Source organism: Homo sapiens, chromosome 5, assembly GCF_000001405.40.
Source record: "Homo sapiens chromosome 5, GRCh38.p14 Primary Assembly".
NCBI lineage: Eukaryota > Metazoa > Chordata > Mammalia > Primates > Hominidae > Homo > Homo sapiens.
Genome location: NC_000005.10, coordinates 177,425,523 through 177,447,141, shown reverse-complemented (window position 1 = coordinate 177,447,141; position 21,619 = coordinate 177,425,523). Strand labels below are relative to the sequence as shown.

General features: G+C 58.8%; 2 protein-coding genes and 1 long non-coding RNA gene across 13 annotated transcripts in view, besides 9 other annotated features; 1 reads left to right on the top strand and 2 right to left on the bottom strand.

Annotated features, from left to right (window-relative positions):
* Positions 1-703: part of a biological region, named in NCBI's record as "H3K27ac-H3K4me1 hESC enhancer GRCh37_chr5:176874472-176875100", that runs on past the window's edge.
* Positions 1-703: part of a silencer, noted in NCBI's record as "silent region_16687", that runs on past the window's edge. NCBI's record gives its function as "represses an Ori minimal core promoter by ATAC-STARR-seq in GM12878 lymphoblastoid cells {active_cell/tissue: GM12878}" and the evidence as "EXISTENCE:reporter gene assay evidence [ECO:0000049][PMID:35858748]".
* Positions 1-1,147, bottom strand: part of PRR7 (proline rich 7, synaptic) — a 10,292-nt gene extending 9,145 nt beyond the window's left edge. For 2 of the 3 annotated variants that reach the window (NM_030567.5, NM_001174101.2), the window contains exon 1: positions 182-328. The gene's annotated coding sequence lies outside the window, so the exon portion shown is untranslated. Of the gene's footprint in view, positions 1-181; positions 329-479 lie in introns of those variants that run through there. The other variant, NM_001375593.1, reaches the window with a different exon arrangement.
* Positions 1-9,253, top strand: part of PRR7-AS1 (PRR7 antisense RNA 1) — a 10,056-nt gene extending 803 nt beyond the window's left edge. The window contains exons 2-4 of one of the 2 annotated variants that reach the window (NR_038915.1): positions 2,548-2,746; positions 7,111-7,228; positions 8,272-9,253. This is a non-coding gene — a long non-coding RNA (PRR7 antisense RNA 1). The remainder of the gene's footprint in view (positions 1-2,547; positions 2,747-7,110; positions 7,229-8,271) is intronic. The other variant, NR_038916.1, reaches the window with a different exon arrangement.
* Positions 4,251-21,619, bottom strand: GRK6 (G protein-coupled receptor kinase 6). Of its 8 annotated transcripts, NM_002082.4 has the most exons (17): positions 20,245-20,466; positions 16,175-16,270; positions 15,035-15,147; positions 14,832-14,909; positions 14,336-14,436; positions 13,903-13,995; positions 13,732-13,795; positions 13,466-13,606; positions 13,038-13,228; positions 12,203-12,240; positions 12,021-12,110; positions 10,861-11,069; positions 10,612-10,749; positions 6,305-6,442; positions 6,089-6,223; positions 5,896-5,897; positions 4,520-5,405 (listed from the first exon to the last, which is right to left on the bottom strand). In NM_002082.4, exons 1-17 carry the CDS (start codon positions 20,294-20,296, stop codon positions 5,315-5,317), a joined length of 1,770 nt encoding a protein of 589 aa, NP_002073.2. In that variant the 5' UTR covers positions 20,297-20,466; the 3' UTR covers positions 4,520-5,314. The 8 variants fall into 8 exon arrangements, with proteins under 8 accessions (NP_001004106.1, XP_047273082.1, NP_001351093.1 ...); NM_001004106.3 differs by lacking the exon at positions 5,896-5,897 and having other exon boundaries at positions 4,251-5,405; XM_006714859.3 differs by lacking the exons at positions 5,896-5,897; positions 20,245-20,466 and adding an exon at positions 20,523-20,585 and having other exon boundaries at positions 4,520-5,407.
* Positions 5,808-6,504: an enhancer, noted in NCBI's record as "H3K27ac-H3K4me1 hESC enhancer chr5:176867639-176868335 (GRCh37/hg19 assembly coordinates)". NCBI's record gives its function as "activates a minimal SCP1, AML or CMV promoter by ChIP-STARR-seq in naive H9 embryonic stem cells {active_cell/tissue: H9 hESC(naive)}" and the evidence as "EXISTENCE:reporter gene assay evidence [ECO:0000049][PMID:30033119]".
* Positions 14,663-14,782: an enhancer, noted in NCBI's record as "active region_23719". NCBI's record gives its function as "activates an Ori minimal core promoter by ATAC-STARR-seq in GM12878 lymphoblastoid cells {active_cell/tissue: GM12878}" and the evidence as "EXISTENCE:reporter gene assay evidence [ECO:0000049][PMID:35858748]".
* Positions 15,273-15,492: an enhancer, noted in NCBI's record as "active region_23718". NCBI's record gives its function as "activates an Ori minimal core promoter by ATAC-STARR-seq in GM12878 lymphoblastoid cells {active_cell/tissue: GM12878}" and the evidence as "EXISTENCE:reporter gene assay evidence [ECO:0000049][PMID:35858748]".
* Positions 19,893-20,542: a silencer, noted in NCBI's record as "silent region_16686". NCBI's record gives its function as "represses an Ori minimal core promoter by ATAC-STARR-seq in GM12878 lymphoblastoid cells {active_cell/tissue: GM12878}" and the evidence as "EXISTENCE:reporter gene assay evidence [ECO:0000049][PMID:35858748]".
* Positions 19,893-20,792: a biological region, named in NCBI's record as "H3K27ac-H3K4me1 hESC enhancer GRCh37_chr5:176853351-176853890".
* Positions 20,253-20,792: an enhancer, noted in NCBI's record as "H3K27ac-H3K4me1 hESC enhancer chr5:176853351-176853890 (GRCh37/hg19 assembly coordinates)". NCBI's record gives its function as "activates a minimal SCP1, AML or CMV promoter by ChIP-STARR-seq in naive H9 embryonic stem cells {active_cell/tissue: H9 hESC(naive)}" and the evidence as "EXISTENCE:reporter gene assay evidence [ECO:0000049][PMID:30033119]".
* Positions 21,213-21,382: an enhancer, noted in NCBI's record as "active region_23717". NCBI's record gives its function as "activates an Ori minimal core promoter by ATAC-STARR-seq in GM12878 lymphoblastoid cells {active_cell/tissue: GM12878}" and the evidence as "EXISTENCE:reporter gene assay evidence [ECO:0000049][PMID:35858748]".

Below are 21,619 nucleotides of genomic sequence, written 5' to 3'. Positions count from 1 at the left end.
ACTGGCGCTCTCCCTCCCTCCGGTGTGGACTGGGGGAGGGGCTGCTCGCGGCCCGGGCGGGGGACCGGGGCGGCGACCCGGGGCCAGGGCGCTGAGCCGCCCGCGGGGAAGGGCTCAGTCCTGGGACCATCTTCCGCCCGCGCTCCGTGCCCGCCCGGCCCGCAGCCGCCGCGGTACTCACGGGCCCAGGCATCCTCCTCGAGCTCGTTCTCCTGGCTCGGGGCGAGCAGCGCGGGCCCAGCGGACAGAGCCCCGGGCCTGCGGGGGGAGGCGGCGGCGGCCCGGGGGAGCAGACAGTGGCAGCGAAAGCGGCTCCGAGCGCTGGGCTGGAGGCGCGGGGCGCGCGCACGGGCGCGTACACGGCGGGTGCTGAGCCCGGCGTGCGCGCGCGCGGCAGCCGGCAGAGGGCCCCGCACCCCCAGCCACACGCCGCGAGGAGGCTGCCCCCGGAGGGAAGGAGGGGGAGGACGGTCACCCACCTGCGGCGCCGAGACCCGGTTCTCCAGCCCGCCGGGCTCACACCCGCCAGGGCACCCTCACAGGGGAGGCACACGCCGGCCGACCCGGTCCACACTCCAGGCTGGAGCCCAGGCCACACCGGTCGTGCACGCTGGATGCACAGCCAGGCAGCTGAGGTCGAGAACCCGGACGCGCACACAGCTCAGCTCGGAGAGCACACACATGTCCAGGTCCCCGTCACATCCTGACAGGCGCTGCGCACACGCAGTGGGCAGGGGCCCCCGAGCAGGCAGGCACCCCAACGTGGCTCCCTCCCAACTCACGACCCCTCTCGCTAGGTGCCCAGCAGGCGTACACCACCACATGCCTACTAGGAAGCCACGGGGAGGAGGACCTAGTGCCGAACCCACAGCCCTGGCCTCCGTGGACATGCCTCCCCCCTACCCCAGCAGGGAACAGATGACCCCTAGAGAGCGCCCCACTGTCTACCCCGAGGTCCAAGCTTGCAGAGGCCACTCTGAAGTTGGCTGTCCATCGGCCTCTTAACTGGGCTGTTTTTCGTCCAACTTCTCTACTGCACTTAAGATGATTTGCCAAAAACCCCTCCACCACCATATTAGCTGGAACATTTGGGGTTGAAGTGACAGAACTCCCAAACAAATAGGTTTGAGCTGTACCCCGTCTCTACCAAAAAAAAAAAAAAATCTGCACGCCTGTGGAGAATCGCTTGAATCCGGGAGGCAGAGGTTGCAGTGAGCCGAGATCACGCCACCGCACTCCAGCCTAAGGGAGGGGGTGAGACCCTGTCTCAAAAAAAAAAAGAGAAAGAAGAAAGAGAAAGGACAGAAAGAAAGAAAAATAAAAGAGAAAGAAAGAAGAAAGGAAAGAAAGAAAAGAAAGAAAAAGAGAAAGAAAAGAAAAAGCTTTGAGCTCAAAGGGGACTGGTTCATGCAACTGGCAAGTCCCAGGGTAGATTCTAGCTTTGGTCACAGTTGCTTCCAGGTGTTCCCGCAATGGTGTCAGGCACGTATCTGCTTCTGTTTGCATCACTCTCAGGCAAGCTCACCCCAAGAAGTAGCGAGGACAACCCCAACAGCCCTAGGCTCATATCCTGCCATCTATCCCTGGAGGAAAACGGAACCCCAATTCCTTCCCCATCATTTGAGCAAAATACAAGCAAACAACTCCATGAATGATTCTTTTTGGACTCATTTGGGCTGAGTCTCTATCAGTGAACCAATCTAAGTGCCTGTGTGTTAAGGGAGAGGATATGTGCTCCTTATGCAAAGGGAATGGCCTCCCAGTACCCGCTCCCTTTTCTTTGTATACAGGCACCCTGATTTCAATGGGGGAATCACTGCCCCACGGGTGCCATCCTGGTGAAACTGTGAACCCAAGTGCCCTGCTCCCTGACAGTGCACAGCAGGCAGGTATCCAGCCTGGCCACTCAGACTCCTTGAGTTTGCAACTGGGCTCAAAGAGGCAAAACCAAATGGCTCTATCATCTTGGTTCTGGTGGGTGTCTCCTGATGAGAATGGAGCCCACAACTAAGACCCCGAAGCTCCTCCATATCCTTGGAACACCTTCTAAGTTAGCGGGAGGACAGTTCTGTCACTTGCAACATTCCCACCTGGCTCTCTCACTCTAGGTATGTGTGTGGAGTATGCGTGTGCAGGGGGTGCAAGCCCAGCCCCGTCTAAACCACATGGACAGAGACTGGGGGTGCTTTTGTACATGCTGGAGCAAACACCCCAACACAACCAGTAAAAACCCTTCAGGGAATCCCCTACCTTCCAGATGAGGCCCCATCTGGGCCTTAACCCTGTGATCCTTAATCTAGCTTTCAAAGCTGGCTGTGTCTCACTGACTTCAGCTCCAGCCATTCCTTGCTTCCACCCCTGGCCTCCCATGCTCAGCCATCCTAAACCACTAAAGCCCTAGACCATCCATCTGGCTCCTCTACTTGGGTACATCTGACCCTGTGTCCTGGAGGGCACCAATTCTGACACCTTCAGGGTCAAGGGGCCTCCCTGTTTGGTGCTGCCCCACCCCCAACCCTGTCAGCTCTAGAATCCTCTCTTCCACAGTGCTGATCACACTGGGTCCCGCTGTTCCCACGTCTGCCTCCCTACCAGACTGAGCTCCAAGCTGCCAGGGGCCTCGTCTCCATCTGGGTCCCAGTTCCCACCATAGAGCTGGGCATGGAGGACAGCTCAGGGAAGCTTCTTGGGAAATGAATTCTGGGAGTTCCCTCTGCCAAGGACCCACTGTGTTAAGAGCTTTAAGGTGAGTTTAACCCTAGCCAAGAAGTTCCCTGGATGCCTCCCTAGCCCAAGGGGGAGCTGGCCAGGGTGTCCTGATCCAGGTGCAGGCAGAGTGCCTCAGGGTCCTGCACATCCACCTGGCACGCGCTCTCTTGCATACCTGCCCAGGGCTGGGCTTTGGTATGACATGCTAACACCTACCTAAAAATCCCCCACTCCCACCTCATAACAGCCTGGGGCAGAGGGGCAAACCCACCCCAGGCTCCTTTCTCATGATACATGGGTAGGATCCAGCTTTCCCATCATTACCTGGTTTCCTCCCCACCCTGCAATGGCCACTTAACCAGTTGGAAGACCTTGAGCAGGTCCCCACTCCCCTTACTTCCCTTAGGTTGGTGGGAAGCAGCAGGCACTCCACATGTCATGAGTGGGGCCACAAAAGGCCCCTTCTGCCAGGCTGCTGGCTTGGCACCTTCTGGCTGTGCTTAAGCCAGGTGGTTAGTTTGGTACTCAGCACCACTCCCCAGCAGGTGGGAGTCCTGCGGTGGCTTGGGAACTCAAGGGGCTGGCTGGCTGCTTTGGTGGATTCTCACAGCTGCCCAGAAAGGTGATGGGTCTTACACCTACCTTTCCATATCAGGGAAGCGCCTGTGCAGGGCCAACTTGAAAAGTGGCCAGGCTGGGGCTTGAACCTGGAACTGTCAGCTACAAAGCTCACATGGCTCCTGCAGCACTGGGTGCCCAGTCCAGAGGCCAGGAACAAGCTTGATGGGGCTTACGGGGCATTCTCAGGGAGCTGGGGACACTGGGAGTCTATAGAGCAGTGATGGGGTTGCCAGATCTGGGACAGACTGGTAGGCAACAAGCTCTCAGCCCCAGAGCCCAGGCAGGAAGCTCCCCTTGAGTGCCTCCCAGTCCCCCTTCCTCCCAGGTGAATGTCCACTTCGAGGCCGGCTCAACCACCGTCTTCAGAGAACTCTCCCACACTGGCCACAGCCTATCTGCCAGCGTCACCCACTGTCTAGGTCTTTGCCCATAATGTGTCAAGGGCAAAACAGAGGGGTGGATATGATGCACGTGCCTCAGCCCGGGGCCCGTACATGGCTGGCGTCCAGGTAACGCAGGCCTGGGGCAGACATTCCTTACACAGCTCCCACCCTACTCTTACGTCCACATTTAGGCAGCCAGGCCACCTTAGCCTTGGAGGGGAGGACACCAACGGGGCCCGCCTTACCAGCAGTCAGAAACAGACCCACATCCCAGTGGGTACCCAAGGCTTCTTTCCTTAGGCCCCATCCCATTTAGGAAGTTGGGAAACCCACTGGGTGAGCCCAAAGGCTACCAAAGCCTGGCTGTCTGGAGAGGCTAGTTCAGAGTCAGCCCTGGGGGCTCCTGGGCCTCGGAAGGGCACACCCTGCTTCCCTCCAGGCCCACCTCCAATCCCTTCCCGCTTCCAGCTGGGCCAGGGGAGCAGGAAGACCCCTGGAGCACCGGAAGCAAGAAAGAGGCAGGCAGGGGCGGCTAGCCAGGTTTGTGCTCGGACTATTCACACAGAGACATGTGGCAGCTTACGTTGGACAAAACGAGTAATAAAAATTGGCTTTAAATATGGAAAAAACAGGGCCCTGTAATCCCATGCTACCCTAACACTGGGACCAGGATGGCCATCACAGTCTGGGAAGGGCCAGGGCTGGGACCTGGGGCACAGGCACAGCCTCGCCCTATCCCCTTCACCCACACAGGTACACACGCGCGCGCACGCACCCCACAGGCGCACACAGGAAGGGGCGGATTATTGCTGGGCACATGTGTCTATTGTTATGAGGGGAGTCCGGAATGTTTGAGGGTTGACCAGGGATGCCCCACCCCCTCCTAGGGGCTGGGCTTGGGCGTTTCTGAAAGAGGTGTCTGCAGGACAGAGCCCAGTATCAGGGACCAGGCTGTGGGAGCTGGAAGGCAGAGGCAGACCTATCTGGGCCGGCCGGGGCAGTGGGCTGATGGGTATCACAGGCAGCCCAATCTCTGGCCACTTTGGCACAGGCCTAGGGCATACAGAGGCCCCAGACCCAGCGCTGACAAGCACTGAGAAGGGACAGCTTTGGGCCCCAGAGGGTAGCAGCCTGAGCCCAGGGCAGCAGGGGGAGGCACGAGTCTTACTCAGAGGCCGGGGTGGCCAGCACAGTGCTGAAGGCTCAGGGGTGTGACCACCCTCAGCCATCCAAGCTGGGCCAGAGGAGCCTTGAGTTTGGCAGTGGCTCCTCTGCCAGCTCCCGCTCTCCCAGCCAGGGCTGGCTGCCCCCAGGAGCCAAGGCGGGGGCGCCAGGTCTGCGGCGGGAATTAAGAATGCTCTGGTCGCTATATACATTCGTACAAATACATAAATACAGAAAGCCCCGAGCTCCACGGAGAAGAGCTGAAGGGACGCACCTTTGTCCCAGGGATGGCCCAGGCCCTGCCAAACTCAGCCAGGCCAGGGGCTGAGGGACGGAGGACACTGGGGACAGCTCCGTCTGTGTTCCCCAGGCCACGACTTGAGTGGACAATGGGGAAGATCACTGTGCAAAACTGTAAACGGCGCTCGGAGTAGCTGCTACCGCCAACTGCTGGTGGGGGCCTCGGGCTGGGGGCTAGAGGCGGGTGGGGAGCTCTTCCTCGCTGTCGCTGCAGTTTCCACAGCAATCCTGGAGGGACGGGGAAGACACGGAGGGAGGGAGAGAGGCAGAGCAGGTGCCATTAACCACGAGGGACGTCACATGGGGCCGACCCTGCCAGGGCAGGCCAGGAGCTGCCTGAGGGGTGCACTCTGGGGAGGGGCCTCTCCACAAGGAGCCTGGAGCAGCAGCTCAGGCCACACGTGGGTGGGCGTCATTGCAGAGGCTGCCGGCAACAGACTGAAGTAAGGGGGCTGGGTAGATCCCACGGTCTGCCAGGGCAAGGCCTCTGCCCAGCCCTCTCCCCTGGGGCTGGCAGAGACAGGGCACGGGGAGACAAGCGAAGCAAAGCTGGCAGCTCGAAGGGGCCAGGGTGCAGGGGATCAAAGCAGTGGGCAGGGGGAGTGGGGCGGGCACCAGACTTCTTTCTCCCACATCTTGCCTTTGCCATGGAAGGGCTGCCCGTGGCTCCCCGAGGCCAGGCAGCAAGGCCAACCCACGGGGAGCCCACACTGCTCACCTCTGGAAAGAGAAAAGAGGCCATGAGCCCAGCCAGGGGTGGGGGACAGGCGGGAATGAGGCCAGAGACCCTGGGCACCACAACAGGACTGGAGGACGCCCACTCCCAGCGCATGCGGGCACCGGCTCTGCCTCCCACCCACCGTCCCCTGGAGCCAGGTTAGGGGCCCAGGTAGGCCGCTGCTGGGGCTTACTTGGCGACTGAAGAGTCTCTGCAGCAGTCCCTTTTTAGGAGGTGCAGGTGGCTGGCCCTTCCAGTCCAGGTCTGGGGGAACTGAGCCATCCAGCCCAAAGACATTCAGCTCTTGGAAGCACTCGGTCTCCACCATCTGCTGAGGAGCAGGCGGCTGTGACAGCTGTCCCCAGGGCAGCCTCCTGGAGCCCACCCCACCAGCAGGGCAGGCCCCCACCTCGTTCTGCCAGGGGATGGGCACACTGCCTGTGGCAAACTTCTGGTAGAAGTCCTGGTCGGTAGGCTCCAGCTCCACGCCCTTGACCGTAGAGAACTGTTCAATGTCCAGAACATCCTTGCAGTAAATGGCCTGGGGCTGGTGGGACAGAGGCAACGGTCAGATAGGAAACACACACACGCACACGCGAAGGCAGCTCAGCCCTGATTCTGCCTCGGGTCTTGGCCTAGTGCTGCCTGACACCAGCAGCTCTCTGATTTGGAGAAACCAGGTGCCCCACGCACTTCCTAAGTGGGGCAGGCCCTTCTCTCCGAAGCCTGGTTTTCCCCTCTGTGAACTGCGTACGTTATTCCTCACTGCTCAATGACTGTGAGGCTGTGTAAAGGCCAATGCCAGGCACCTCCTTCGCCTGCCCACAGCTTCCTGGGTATGCAGTTGGGGCGGGGAGTACAGGCTGAATCTCAGCCGGCCCCTCCGCTGGGCACCACCACGCAGAGCCTGGAGCTGGTGACTCCCTGGCTCCCCGCCCTGCGATGACCTGGGACTTGCCGTCTTCTCTCCCAGCCAATCAGAGGACTGGCACGGTCTCCCACTGCTCCACCTCCCCAGACCCACACTGGGAGCCCACCTCAGCTCCAGGCGGCCACCTTCTTTTTTTATCTTAACATTGTTTTCTAAATCCTTCAATTAAGATGTCAATTAAAATCATTGTCATGTAAAATGGTACAGCTGCTTTGGAAAACAGTCTGGCAGTTCCCCAAAAGCTTAAACATCATTACCATATGACCTAGTAATTCTACTCCTAGGTATAGACCAAGAGAAATGGCGGCATCTGCACACACAAAAACTTGTACAGGAATGTTCACAGCAGCAATAACAGCCAAAAAGTGGGAACAATCTTAATGTCTACCAACTGACGAACAGGTAAGGAAAATGTGGTCTATCCATGCAATGGAATATTATTCAGCCTTAAAAAGGTATGAAGCACTGATCTATGCTACAACATGGATGAACCTTGAAGATACTATGCTAAGTGAAAGAAGCCAGGCACAGAGGATCACATACTATGTGATGCCATAGCTATGACATGTCCAGAGTAGGCAAACAGAGAGAGACACAGAGTAGACTGGTGATTGCTAGGAGCAGCGGGAGGGAAGCATGGGGAATGGCTGCTAAGGGTATGGGTTTTTTTTTTTTTTGCAGAGTGGGGCAGGTAATGAACACACTCAAGAATTTATCGTGGTGCTGACTGCATAATTAAAAAGCCAATGAATTGCACTTTTTTTTTTTTTTTTTGAGATGGGAGTTTTGCTCTTGTTGCCCAGCCTGGAGTGCAATGGTGTGATCTCAGCTCACTGCAACCTCCGCCTCCTAGGTTCAAGCGATTCTCCTGCCTCAGCCTCCCAAGTAGGTGAGATTACCGGCATGCGCCACCACGTCCAGCTAATTTTTGTATTTTTAGTAGAGACGGGGGTTTCACCTTGTTGGCCAGGCTGGTCTTGAACTCCTGACCTCAGGTGATCCACTCACCTTGGCCTCCCAAAGTGCTGGGATTACAGGCATGAGCCACCACGCCCAGCCGAATTGTACACTTTAAATGGGTGAATTGTATGGTATATAAATCATATAAATTAAACTCAATAGAGCTGTTAAAAAAATATCATCAAGCTTGCTTTTTCATCTACTGCTTCCACAAAGTTAAACTCCAGGGCACTGATTTTATCTCCGACTTTGAATGGAAGATCCAGAGGCAGTGTAGTTATTTCAAGGTTAAATGAGATGATGTACACAGGAAACAGAACAGACTGAGTGGCAGTGCCAGCCTCAGGGGCGAGCTGATGAAAGTCAGGCTCTCTTAGTTCAAGTAAGTGCCTCTGACAGGGCCCACCTTTGCTTTGGAAAACAGTCTGGCAGTTCCCCAAAAGGTTAAACATAGTTACCATATGACCTGGTAATTCTACTTCTAGGTATAGACCAAGAGGTATGGAGGCCAAGGCGAGCAGATTACTTGAGGTCAGGAGTTCGAGACCAGCCTGGCCAGCGGTTCCAGTGAGGCCCATGTGAGGCAGTCACTCAGGGCAGTAGCCCCCTCACTGGCCTCCCCACTTCCACTCACACCCACTATGGCCCACTCCCCACACCTCACATTCCTGCCCAGGGTCCCCCAGCGGTCCCATCTTGCTGAGAACCTGCCGGCACTCCTCTTTGCCTGCACGGGCTCACTCAGCCACACAGGTGTCCTCGCGGCTGCTCCACCTCACAGGGCTGGCCCCTGCCTCAGGACTGCAATACCCGGCTGTTTCTTCTGCCTGGAATGCTCACACCCCAAACCTTGGCATGGCTCTCCGCTTCACATATTTTACATTTCTGCACCAGCATCACCTCCCCAGAGACCACGGTGTCTAAAAGCGCTCCCCCCACCATCATTCTCTGCCATCTTCGTAGCTTGCTTTAGTTTTCTTTTTTTTTTGAGATGAAGTTTCACTCTTGTTGCCCAGGCTGGAGTGCAATGCGCGATCTCAACTCACCGCAACCTCCTCCTCTTGGGTTCAAGCGATTCTCCTGCCTCAGTCTGCCGAGTAGCTGGGATTACAGGCATGCGCCACCATGCCCAGCTAATTTTGTATTTTTAGTAGAGATGGGGTTTCTCCATGTTGGTCAGGCTGGTCTTCGAACTCCCAACCTCAGGTGATCCGCCTGCCTCAGCCTCCCAAAGTGCTGGGATTACAGCGTGAGCCACCGCACCCAGCCGCTTGCTTTAGTTTTCTTTGTCACACTTAACATTACCTGGAATTCCTTCTGGCTTACGGGTTTGTTTGGGTGTGTCTCCCACTAGAATGTAAGGGCAGGACTGGCTCCAGTGGGCCTCATTATCTCCAGGGTCTGGCATAAATGGGCACTCAGCTATTTGCTGAATCAATAAACGTGTGTGTCATTGACAGCTATCAACCTGGCCTGCCCTGCCCATCCTTCGGGCCTCTCCAGTGTTCCTGGTGAACCGTTAATTACAGGACCAGTCCTCATAGACATGGGAAGGGGAAAGCACATGACCTCATCTTAGCCAATCAGAACCTTCCCTATGACTGTCACACAGAGAAGCCTAATTCAGGGGGAGGGAAAGAGTCAACAGGTTGAAGGCCAGGCAAGAGCTGGAGAATCGTGGCACACAGCAGGAAACCCTGGAGCTGGCCCTACTTTGGGACTTTCTGGCCAAATGAACCAATACACTCCACGGTGAGCTTAAGTGAGTTTAGGTTGGTTTTCTGCCACCCGGACTCTGACAACTAGAGGATACTCTTGCCTGCTGGGTGCCTGGCCCACTGAGATGCTCAGTTAACAGGTGAGACTCCATAAGGAAAAGTGACCACCCACAGAAGGATGGCCAGCCCAACAGCCCCTCCCACTGCTGGCAATTGCATTGTAGTTTTCCTCTGGGGAACTGAGCTCCCCCATTGGTGCAGGTTCGGGTGGGTGTATGATCTGGGTGTGGCCAGTGAGGGGCCTCTGAGCAATGAGAGGCAATGGGCATCAGCTTTGGGACTTCTTTTCCCCCATGAGGATTTCTTTTGAAATTATTGGGCAAGGGCAGGCGCGATGGCTCACTCCTGTAATCCCAGCACTTTGGGAGGCCGAGGCAAGAGGATCACCTGAGGTCAGGATTTCAAGACCAGCCTGGCCAACATGGTGAAACCTCATCTCTACTAAAAATACAAAAATTAGCCGGGCATGGTGGTGGGCGCCTGTAATCCCAGCTACTCAGGAGGCTGAGGCAGGAGAATCGCTTGAACCTGGGAGGCAGAGGTTGCAGGGAGCCAAGATCTCACCACTGCACTCCAGCCTCGGGGACAGAGCAAGACCCTGTCTCCAAAAAGAAAAGAAAAGGAAGAAAGGAAAGAAAGGAAAAAAGAAGGGAAAAAAGAACGAAGGAAGGAAGGAGAGGAGAGGAGAAGAGAAAAGAGAAGAGAAGCTCTCTGTCTACTGTGGTGGCTGAGCTGCTGGGGCCCACTGCTGCCGCACCATGGGGAGAGCTACCCCAATATGAAGACTACACACTCAACGGTACAGTGAGGGGAAGGAGAGAGAGTTCCTAGGACATTGTCAGAGGCTCCAAGCCCCATCCAGGCATGCCACAAGCCAGACCCATCCTGGGGCTTTTCCTTTTTGTGAATTATCTTTATTTCTGTGGCTAAGCCACTAGATTGTTTTTTCTGCCACTTGCACTGGAAGCATCCTGGCTGATACTACAAGAGCCCCTGAGCCCCAGCCCTGGCTGGGCCCCGCCCTCAGCAGGAGTGGGCTGCACTCACGTCAGGCTTGAACGGCGGCTCCAGCATGCCAGCTCCCAGCCGCTTGAAGTTCAGCTTCTTAAAGAGGGGGTGCTCCTTCACCTCGCGGGCACTGCCCCCACGACACCCCAGGCGTTCGGCAGGGTCCTTGCAGAGGAGCTGTGGCAGGGGTGAGTCGGCCAGGCAGGCCAGGCAGGTGAGTGGGTGGGAGGGAGGGAAAGGTGCATCCACCCCAGCCCTGGCTGGCCAGGCTTCTGTGAGCTGCCGTACCTGTGAGCAAAGTGAGCGGGCCTGCGGGGAAAAGCGCTCGGAATACTCCTCGGGGACCTCCTTCACCAGCCGCTCCACCTCCTCCCGCTTGATCTTCTTCTTCCTCTGCTGGAAGGGCGACTGGCCTGCGATCATCTCGTACAGGAGGCAGCCGAGCGCCCACCAGTCAGGGCTGAACGTGTACCGTTCATTCTTCACCACCTCCGGAGCTGGGCGGGCGGCATGGGAGTTAGGGCTGGGCAGGAGGCGGGCAGTGGACCCTCAGGCCCCAGGAACGCCAGTGCACGTTAGGTCTGGGATACACTCACACCCGCTGGCCAGGGGGGACCTTGGCCAGTAGGAGAGCACAGGCCCCATCAAGCGGGGTGAATACGGCCCTGCAGGAGGCCGCGCCCAGGGTCCCCGGGTCTTCAGATTTTACACAAGAAGTCAGAAATCTGTATTTTGTATGTGAAACCATCTGGCTTACTAAAAACAGTTTGACTTAAACACAAATGTAGGCCAAATTGGGCCCATGTGGCTACCATTTTGCAACTTCTGGATTTAATATCAGCGAGAAGAAGGAAACTCCTATTTTCTGAATACCTCCTACCTGCCAGGGCAGCCCTGTGGGGAGTTTTCCCTGAACTCTCCCTTTTCATCTTCCAGGCAGCCCTGGGAGGCAGGTATGATGAGTGTTTTCCAGTGGAGCAGAGTGAGGCCGGGAGCAGCGGAGTGTCTGGTTCAAGGCCACGCAACCGGCAAGAGGCGGAGCCTGCAGAGCCAGGACTCTGCCTCCTGCGTCTCTCGGTCTCCAGGTGGAATGTGGGGCCTCATGTTGGCCCCTCCACTGGCCTCCCTCACAGATGGGCACAGGGAGGGCAGGGACTGGGGCCACGGAAACAGGTTTGGGTCTCTCTCCTCCATCCCCCGGTAGCCACCTGCAGGCTCAGCCATAGCAGGGTTTAATAAGTATTCAGCAAATGAACGACATGGCTTCACAACTGTGTGCGGCCCCGGCTGAGTCTTGGTCTCCTAACCTCTAGAAGAGGAGCATCGGCATGGGCCCTTTCTACTGAGGCCCCTTTTGAGAGAAGACTCCCAGACAGAAGTGGGTGTGGCTGGGTGGGTGGATAGTGAGGGAACCCAGGAGGCTAGTGGGCCGGGCAGAGAAGACTCACCCATGTAACCCACGGTGCCCACACGCCCTTTGATGGTCTGGCCCTCGGGCACATGCACAGCTAGTCCCAGGTCAGAGATGCGGATGTGGCCTGAGTGTGGGTGGAGAAACAGGTGGACCCGTTAACAGGCCAGGCCTCTGCATCTCACCCCACCCTGACCCACCCCAGGCACCCTTACACACCGTGGTCATCCAGCAAGATGTTCTCGGGCTTCAGGTCCCTGTGCAGAGAGAAGAGCAGGGTCAGATGCTGCTCAGTTTGCCAGGGAGTCAGAAGGGGCCAGCCCCCCCAGCTCACTCGCCTCCGGGGGCCAGGTGTGGAGCAAGGTGCGAGACTCATTTGCTGCCAGGGCGACAGACAGCCCTGCTCTCCCTGGCAACAGCCCGGACTCAAGGGAGCAGAGGAAGGATCTAGAGCCAGGACTCCCAGGACTCTCTAGATGAGTGGAAGACAGCTCCACCCCGGAGGGGCCTCCCCAGTGGAGACCAAGGAGTCTCCACCCCTTGGTGACTGACTCTGCCTTTCCTCTCTATCAAATGGGACTACTCATCCGTCCCCTGACTAGGCTGTTGTGAGGTTCACAGGAAGTCGGCAACAATCAGAGCCAGGGTTCTCTCTTACCCAGCCCCATGTGCCAGGCACTCTGTACTTAGCTCACTGGGCCCCTCCAGTAGGAAGTTGGGCCTACTTCTAACAACCTGGGAAGTAGGAATTATAGTCTCTGCTTCCTAGAAAAGGAAGCAGTGTTGGGAGCAGGGAGCTCCTGGCCCAAGGTCACACGGTGGGGGGTGGAGGGGTGACAAAGTCAGGATACCCCGTGGGTCCAGCAGAGCCCAAAGCCTAGGTCTGGGCTACTCAGGTTGGCCTGGCGTGTGAGTTAAGCCGGTGCCACAGCCCCCAAACCAATGTCCTTCTGTAGTCTGGCCTGATCGGCAGCCTTGGCCACCCCCGTCCAGGCCCAGCTGCAGTCGCTGGCAGGGAAGGACTAAGCCCCTGGGGTGGCCGAGCCCTCCCCACCTGTACACGATGCGCTCCCGGTGCAGGTCCTCCAGGCCACAGCAGATCTCGGCGGCGTAGAAGACGGCCCGCGCTTCGGGGAAGCCAGCCTGGCCCATGTGGTAGATGTGGAACTTGAGGTCGCCCCCGTTCATCAGTGTCAGCACCAGGCACAGCGCGTCCTTGGTCTCATAGGCGTAGGCCAAGCTCACCTGTGGCCGAGGGGACCCGAGCCCTCAGGCAGGAGCTGCGGGGCGCTTGGCGGCAGGGCTGCCCAAAAAAGCCTTCTCGGTGCCACTCCTTGGGCCCAGCCTGCTCCCCAAGCCTGGTGTCAACACCCCAAACCCGCCCTTCCTGGCATCCCACATGGGAGGGTGGGGCCTGGGGGGTGGGGACGGTCGGTGCGCCAGTGTGGCCAAGGGGAAGGGAGAGTCTCCTTCTGTACTTACTACAAACCTACTGTTCACTTTCTCCAGGATCTGCTTCTCGTTCAGCGCCATGGCCTCCCCTTTCCGCTTCTTGATCCGCTTTTTCTCTAGCTTCTTGCAGGCATACATCTTACCTGTGGCCCGCACCTGGCAGGCGCACACCTGTGGCCAGACAGACAGGGGCGAATGGGGGCCAGCTGTGCCATTGCTGGGCATCCAGGGGGTGGTCCAGGTCCCAACACACCCACCCTATTCACTCTCCCAGGGGCTCTGGCCTGGCCACTCACCTCCCCAAAGCCACCTTTGCCCAGGACTCGGTATTGCCTGAAGGTGTTTTTGGTCACTGGCTGCCTGTGGCAAGGGGTGGGGAAGCAAACGCTGGCTGAGCAGGAGAGCCCAAGGCCTATGAAGAACCCCGGCGACCTGGCCTGTCCCGGCCCAGCCTTCAGGGAGCTCACCTTTCCAGCCACTTCCACTGCAGGAAACGGTTGAAGTAGATGCTGTCGAGGTAGTCGGCAAAAGGGGCCACGCTCAGGTACTCGTGGGTCAGCCTGTTGAGGAAAGGCAGGCCCAGCTCACCCGCCAGCCCCTGACACCTCAGGCTCTTGGCTTGCTGGGCCAGGCCTCCCGTTCTGTACAGGCTTAGCCCACAGGTATCGTCGTCGGCCAGTCCTCCTGCTAACCCCTGAGCGGGGAGACACACAGCCTGTGCTGAAGCTGTGGGTGCTACTGAGAGGGGAGGCAGCCTGCTCAGGTCACACAGCAGGGGCAAGGCCAGGGCTGGGCAGCTGAGCTCCCTCACCAGCCACCGAGCTGTTCACAGTCTTCCTGGCCCCCAGAAGCCCCCTCCGCTGGGCATAATTCCAGGCTTGTGGGCAGGGACAGGCTTACCGGGTGAGTTCCTGGAAAAGGTCTTTGCAGGGACCCTGCTCCAGCCGCTGGGTGCAGTTCGTCACCAGCTGCCGGGGGACCTCAGGGATGAGGTCAGGACCCTGGGAACAAGCCCCAGACAGGTCAGTGCAGGGGCTCCCTTGGATGGCTGCCCACTTCCAGGGGAGAGGGGTCAGGCAACTCGGGCTGGTGCCATGAGAGGCTGCAGGCCAGGGTGTGCCAGCCAGCCTGGTTGCTGAAGTCCTTCCTGCTGCCCACCCATGAGGCAGAGCGCAGCAGAGCCACTGGGAGGCCGCCTGGCCCAAGCCCAGCCCATACCCTGGGCTGCATGCCCGCCGTGCTGCCTGGAGCAGCTCCAGGGCACTCTCTGTCCAGGCTGTGTGTTACATGTGTCTGTATGAAGAGACCACCCTCAGAAGCCTGACACTGTGGTCACTCCTGTGCCTGACACGGGGCTCTGGTGGCTCCCATCATCTCTCCATCGCTGCTCACTCACCGTGTGGCTCAGAAAATTCTGCGTTAGCTGCCGCCCACATGCCTTCCGCTTGTCATCCGGGGTCACTTCATACTCGGCCTGCAGGGTGGAAAGCAAAGAAGCTGGAGGTCTGGGCAGGGCAAGCAGCAGGTGTGGGGAGGAGGGGCACATGGGGCCAGGACCTCGGCCACCCGCGGGGCTGGGCAGGGCTGGGCTGCACTCACCACCCCATCCAGGAAGGCGACGCAGCGGCTCAGCTCCGGCCTCGTGGCACAGAACTCTCGGAACAGCAGGCGCCCAATGGGCTGCCGCTCGCACAGGCTGTGATAGTCACGCTCTGTTGGCAGTGATGGAAGCTGCTGGGTCCACAGCCCGAGAGCACATGGGTGGGGCATGTGCCCACACCACCAGGCCCTGGGCCCCCACAACAGCTTCCAGCTCTGCAGTGTGGTAGCCACAATCTTCTTCAGAACCCTCACCACAACCCTCAGGTGGGCACAGCTGTTTTGGGGCTGTGAGGCCCAGAGAGGCTAACTGACTAGCTCAGTGTCACACAGCCGGGAGTCTGGCTCCAGAGCCCAGGCCTCCATCCACCTCCCTGCATTGTCTCCTGATTTACACGACTTGCGTATGTCACGGTACTGGGGTTGGGTGCGGTCCGTGAGGTTCCGGCCCAGCCCAGCCGGGGCCAGGCCCACACCTGCTGCCTGCCTGGCGAAAGTGCGAGAGGAAGCTGTGGCTTCCGGCAGGCTCTCAGCTGGGCCTCCTTCCCAGGAGGTGGAAGCAGCCCGGGTGTGCTCTGCGCACGTGCAGGCCACCGGGGGCCTCAGCAACCTTGGGTGCTGCTCAGACCTGGGGCCTTGGCCAAGATTGGCAGGAACTGGGGTCCTGGGCCCTTCTGTCCCCTCCCAGGAGTAACCCTGTCACACTGCCCAGGCTGAGGGCTTCTGGTCAAGGATTTGCTGGGCACCCCTCAGGGCTGGGCCTGGGAGGCTACGCCCCAGCCTGGGGGTCCCAAGGCAGTCAGTCTGTGGGCTGGCCCAGCTGCTGCTCCCTCTGTCCTGTGGGCCCTGCTCACCCTAGCTGGCTCTCCTTTTCAAAGTGGAATCAACTGCCCCAATCTGCCCCTGCCCTATTCCCGACACCCGCTTCAACCACCCTCGGTGTGACCCTGTTTGCTGTCTGCTCTCCACCCGTCCCAAGCCCAGGAACTGAAACTGGGCTGAATGGTGCAGTCCTCATCCTCCTGCTCACTGGAGCCCCCAAGTCTGCCCCTCTGCTCCGGGGCAAGGTCTCAGGGGAGGCTCCCCCGGCCCCAGCAGGGCCCCTCGCCTCAGCACCCCCAGTCTCTGCCCAGGCCTCACCGAGGCTGAGCCGCAGCTCTTCGCACTGGCTGATGTGAGGGAACTGGAGCATCTGCCGCCATTTCTTGCTTTTGCCTTTGCGATTTCCACCGCCACCTGTGGGAGCAATAGGACACTGGGTCTCGAGTCCCACTGCCTCAGAACTGCCTCTGGGTCCTCAGTGCGGTCCACGGCCTCTAGGGCCCAGCCAAGGCAGAGCTGAGGCAGAACAGCACCTCAGGCCTTCCCTCTGCACGCTCCAGCACGCCCTTGCTGCGTTCCAGGACACACGTGCTTCTCCTGCTTCAGGCTCCTGCACTGGGAGAGCCAAGAGAGGCAGTGAGGTCGCTGCGGGAGGACAGTGTTCCAAGTAGCTCCAACAATGGGTCCAGCCCCAGTTGCTTCCCGCCAGGTAGGAGTTCCCCCGGTGAAGAAAGGGGAGAAGGACGTCACAGTGCTGAGAAGTGCAGAAGGCCCGGGAGGGAGAGATTCTAGGCCAGTGGGGCAGGCCTGAGAGACGCACAGGGCAGCATGGGGACAAGGAGGCTCCCAGGCCTCTATCACCAGGCCCCACATCAGAGATATCAGACGCTCAAATGAGGCAGGGGCAAGGGGGCTGGCACCCAGGACTCCCCGTCCCCTGCACACTGGGGCTTCCCCGGTCCCCTGCCTGTCTTGCTTGACCTCGCAGACACCCCATCTGCAGCAGCTGAGGTCACAGCAGCAGTTCGATTGCCTGCAGAGCCCAACAGGTGTGGGAAACGTGGGCCAGATGTGAGATGACCAGGAACAGCGAAGGCCTCTCTGACAGGGCCAGCTGCAGGAGAACGCCAGCTGATTGCTTGATTGCTGCTAGGAGGGTTTCTGGCTCAATGTGGCCAGCTCTTCTGATTTTTTCAAAAGCAGCCGGAATTGCAGACTCTAACATAAAATATTGGCCCCCATTTTGTTTAAAAAAAAAAAAAAACTCACTGCAGCCAAATAAAATGTGTCAGGGAGCTAGCCAAATGTGTGTGGCCTGTGGGCCACCAGGTTGAGGAGGGTGGAAGGGGCCTGAGCCTCCCAGAGCTGGGTCTGAATCTCTGATTCACACTGTGGCCCATCACTCGCTATCTGTGAACCTCAGCTTCTCCATGTGTGTTACGTAGTGAATGGGAGACACTGTCCACATCAAGTAGGGCTGAGTCAAGAGGTGAACCCCAACTCCAACAACGCCATGGCAACCTTAGACAACCACTTTCTCATGCTGGGCCTCAGTTTCCCCTCTGGCTTTCTAGTCCTGTATCCATCTGGCCTGGGTGAGGGCAGGTGGTACAAGGGCAGAAGTTGCCTTCTAGGGAGGGGGCAAGGCTAGGTCCCTAGATGACTCCCCGACCTAAGCTGCCTGGAGAAGGAAGTACTGCAGGGGCCCATTGAGAAACTTGCTAGAGGCCTCCTGCGAACATGCCCTGCAGTCATTGCTTCACTGTGAGTGAGCAACAGACACCCACCCCTCAACCCAGGGCAAGGCCTTCCCAGAAGGGGAACTCCTCCCCCACACCCACAGGTCCCTCACCCAACCCTCCATCCGCCAGCCTCCCACCCTCAGTTACTTCCTCCTCCCCCCTCCCAGCCACATCAAGGCAGCAGCAAAGAGTCACATGCAAATATCCTGTCCTGGGCTGCCCAGTCAGTGGAGCTCTTCCCCACCCTCCCTGTCCCCTTTCAGTGTCCCTGGGCCCCCTCCCCATGCCTCTGAGTGCCTGGGAAGAGAAGGGGTACTGAGGGAGGTCTCAAGCCCCAGCGTTGTCCCACTCCATCCTCACAGCAACTCTGCCAGAGCAGGCCCAATTTTATATGAAAACTGAGATTCTGAAGTGAGGAATCAATTCACCCAAGATGACCAAGCCCAGAGTATACCCAAGATGACCAAGCCCAGAGACCAATCCTGGGTACAGGATTCGTACCCAGCTCCCTATGGCCACAACCCAAGCTCCTTTCCCACCCCAAACATGGCTGGCATCTATTAGGTGCCAACTGTATACACACACCAAGGGTTCCCAAACCCCACCTGGGGCCTCAGATCACTTGAGAAGCCGTCAGGGGCCCCAGCCTCAAGCTCATGAAAAGCCAGTTCATGAGGTGGTTCTGATGCAGCCCGTCCAGGCGCCTGGGCTCAGGACTCAGTGACAATCAGGGTTTCCTTTAGTCTTTATGTCCCACCCCCAACCGTTCCACAAAAAGGGGTACTGAAGTTGAGAAAGAAGAGACATGTTTAAAGTCATGCAGGTCGGCCAGGCGCGGTGGCTCATGCCTATAATCCCAGCAATTAGGGAGGCCAGAGGCAGGCGGATCACTTGAGGTCAGGAGTTCAAGACCAGCCAGGCCAACATGGTGAAACCCATCTGTGCTATAAATACAAAAATTAGCTGGGTGTGGTGGCATGCACCTGTAGTCCCAGCTACTTGGGAGGCTGAGGGAGGAGAGTCACTTGAACCCAGGAGGCGGAGGTTGCAGTGAGCCCTGCACTCCAGCCTGGGTGACACAGTGAGACTCTGTCTCAAAAAAAAGCCATGCAGGTGGGAGGGGCAGAGCCAGGTTGTCGTAAGGGTTCTCTAGTGGAGGTACCAGTCCCCAGTCTGGCCATACCACCCTGTGCCTTGCCCATGGCCTGACAAAGCTTGTCCAAAGGTACCCACACTCTCCGGCCAGGCAGTGCCATCAGCAGGCCTGAGGCCTTAACTGGCTACAGCCCTAGGGAAGAAGGCCTGTTTCGGCCCTCCCCACCCCTCCTCCCTGGCTGGTTGGATGACGAGGCAGAACAGAATCGGCAGATGCCCCCAGAGGCTGGGAGGAAGGCCTAGCCCATGGGCTCGATAAGGGACAGGGGATAAGACAGGCTCCCCAGGCAATGAGGACCCAGCCTGCCATGCCATTTCTGGGCTGCACCTCGCCAGAGCACTTGGTGGGCACGGGGTGCCAGGTGTAGCACCCAGCTGAAAGTTCCTCTGGGCTTCCTATAGACTGTGCCGGTCATCCTGTGTCTTAGGCCCGAGTCAATCACAATCTTGCTGTGTGACTGATGCTAATCCCTGGTTTGAGCCTCAGCTTCCCACATGTAAAATATGGTAGAAAGGTGAAGCAGATGACTTTTTAAGCCTGGAAGCCCAGCAAAGGGTGGAAAAACTGTCACAATCTCCCTCCTTGCCCTGGAGTTCCAAAAAGATGGGTCTTGTTTACTGCTGCTTCCCCAGCACCCTGGAAAAGGTGGGGCAGAGTGGGTGGTCAGTGATCATGTTACTGAGGTGGAGTGTGGCAGGTGGGGGCAGACTGACCACAAGGCAGTGAGGACCCGATCTGGTCCTTCTGTGTCTCCCAGGACCTGCACAGAGCAAGTGCCTGATAACATCTGGGGTGGGAGCCACGAGGAGCTACACACACACTCGGTCCACCAGACTGGTTTCCCCAGCCAGACCTCTGAGCTTACAATACTGACAGAGCAGCATGCTCTGCTCCCACTTCTTTCTGTGTCCGCTAGCCCCACTAGACCATGGGCTCCCTGAGGGCAAATATCCATTCACCTCTGCCCTCAGTGTCCTGAGGCACGGAGCAAGTGGCAGTCCTATAAGTAGCATTTGTGGCCAGGAGTTTCCCCAAGTCAGGTGGGCTGTGCTACGCAGAGGGTCCGTTTATTCATTCTCCAGCTTTACCTATCGCCAACTTTGCGCGGGATTAGGCTAGGGTGCTGGGGTCTGGGCCCCTGGCACGTGGGGCATCTTTACACCTCTCCCCTGGAGGAGGCTTGCCTCTCAGACAGGCTCTCCTGGGGCTCCGGTCCCACCCTTCCCTCTTCGTCTCACCTTCTTTCACTCCTTCACCCCCACCCGCCGCGAGGGCGGCGGCCTGACCCCCGCCCCTTCCTGGGCCCCGAATCCCGGGGGCAGGTGCGGAGGAGGAAGACGACGGGCCGGAAAGGCTCGTGTCTGGGCGGGGTGTAAGGCGCAGGGCCCGCGGGCCTAGGGGATCCGACGGCTGGGTAGCCCTGCGGAGCTCAGACGCAGCGCACTCGCGCTCCACGCACCCGGGCCCGGCCGCCCACCCGGCCGCCTCACCTTCCCGGGCCTTGAGTAGCACCGTGTTCGCTACGATGTTCTCGAGCTCCATGGGCTGTGGCGCCGCCTGGCCCGCCGGGCCGCGCCGCCGGCCGGGATCGCGCGCGAGTGCCGAGGCCGGATGGCGATCGGCGCGGCTCGGCGCGGCTCGGCTCGGCTCGCAGTGACCGCGCCGCGGCCTCCCCGGCCTCCCCGGCCGCCGCAGCCAGCCGCGCACTCTCCGCCCCCTCCCGGGGGCCACCCCGGCGCTGGCCCGCCCTGCCCCGCCCTCTGTTTACCTCATTTGACCAATCACCGGGCAGAAGCTCCCCGCGCCGTCTTCCCATTAGTCTTCCTCTTCATTTTTTCCCCCGCCCCCCCAGCTGGGGACTCGCTCAAAGAAGTACGGGGGCGGGACCAATCACGTCACCTCTTCCTGGTTGGTCTGAGGGCGGGGTTCAGCCCCTAGGTTCGAATTTCTAGGCTTTCGTAGGATACCAAACTGCCAATTAGGGCCGAGCCCTCAGCCGGGACAATGGAGGTGGGTACTCTGGGGCACGCCCAGGAGGCCGAATATGTGATTGGGTGAAGAAGACGTCCGTCATCTCAAGTACTGCATTTTGATTGGGTCGTCGCCTGAAGGTGTGGCCCGGCGGCCTTTGGCTCGCAGACGGCTTTTCTAGGGTTTTGTCGGGGACGCGCTCCGTATCCTGGGCCTCCTGCGGGCTGGCAGCGAGTTTGTTTGGTCCACTTGTGTGGCCGTATTCCCTTGGGTCGGCCCCAATCAGGAGGGCGCACATCGAAAGAGGGAGAGACAGGGAGGAGGCTGCGGCCTCGCAGCCGTTCCCCGACCTCTTGCCCGGTCGCCGCAGGCGCCCCGCCCAGCCCCCGCAGCCGGATGTTGTGATTTCTCTCCACCCACTCGGCCTCGCCTTCCCTCGGCCTCTGCCGCCTTATAAGGCAGCGCTACCACCCCTAGACCTCGGGATGAGTTCACACCCATTATACAGGTGGGGAGCTGAGGCGCCGGACGTCAAGTGGCTGGCTCCAGCCCGAAGACTACGGAGAAAACAAGGCTGAAATCTTACAGCTAATCAACACCTTGTAGCTTAACACCCCGCTTCCTCCACCCCCTACTTCACGCAGCAGGAAACAGGCTTGCCCAAACTCCGCGAGTAAGGCAGAGCCGGATCCATCTAGGCTTCTCTAGTTCCTATGCATTCATTCATCCGAAAATACAGAGCAACACCTCTGTGCCAGGCACCAAGCCAGGTGCTGGAGAACACAGTGATGGCAGCAAGATAGCCAGGCTCCCTGCTTACTTGCTAGAAGTGGAGGGAGCAAGTGAGGGCAGGGTGAGATAAAGGTAATTATTCTGTAAATAAACAAATAGATG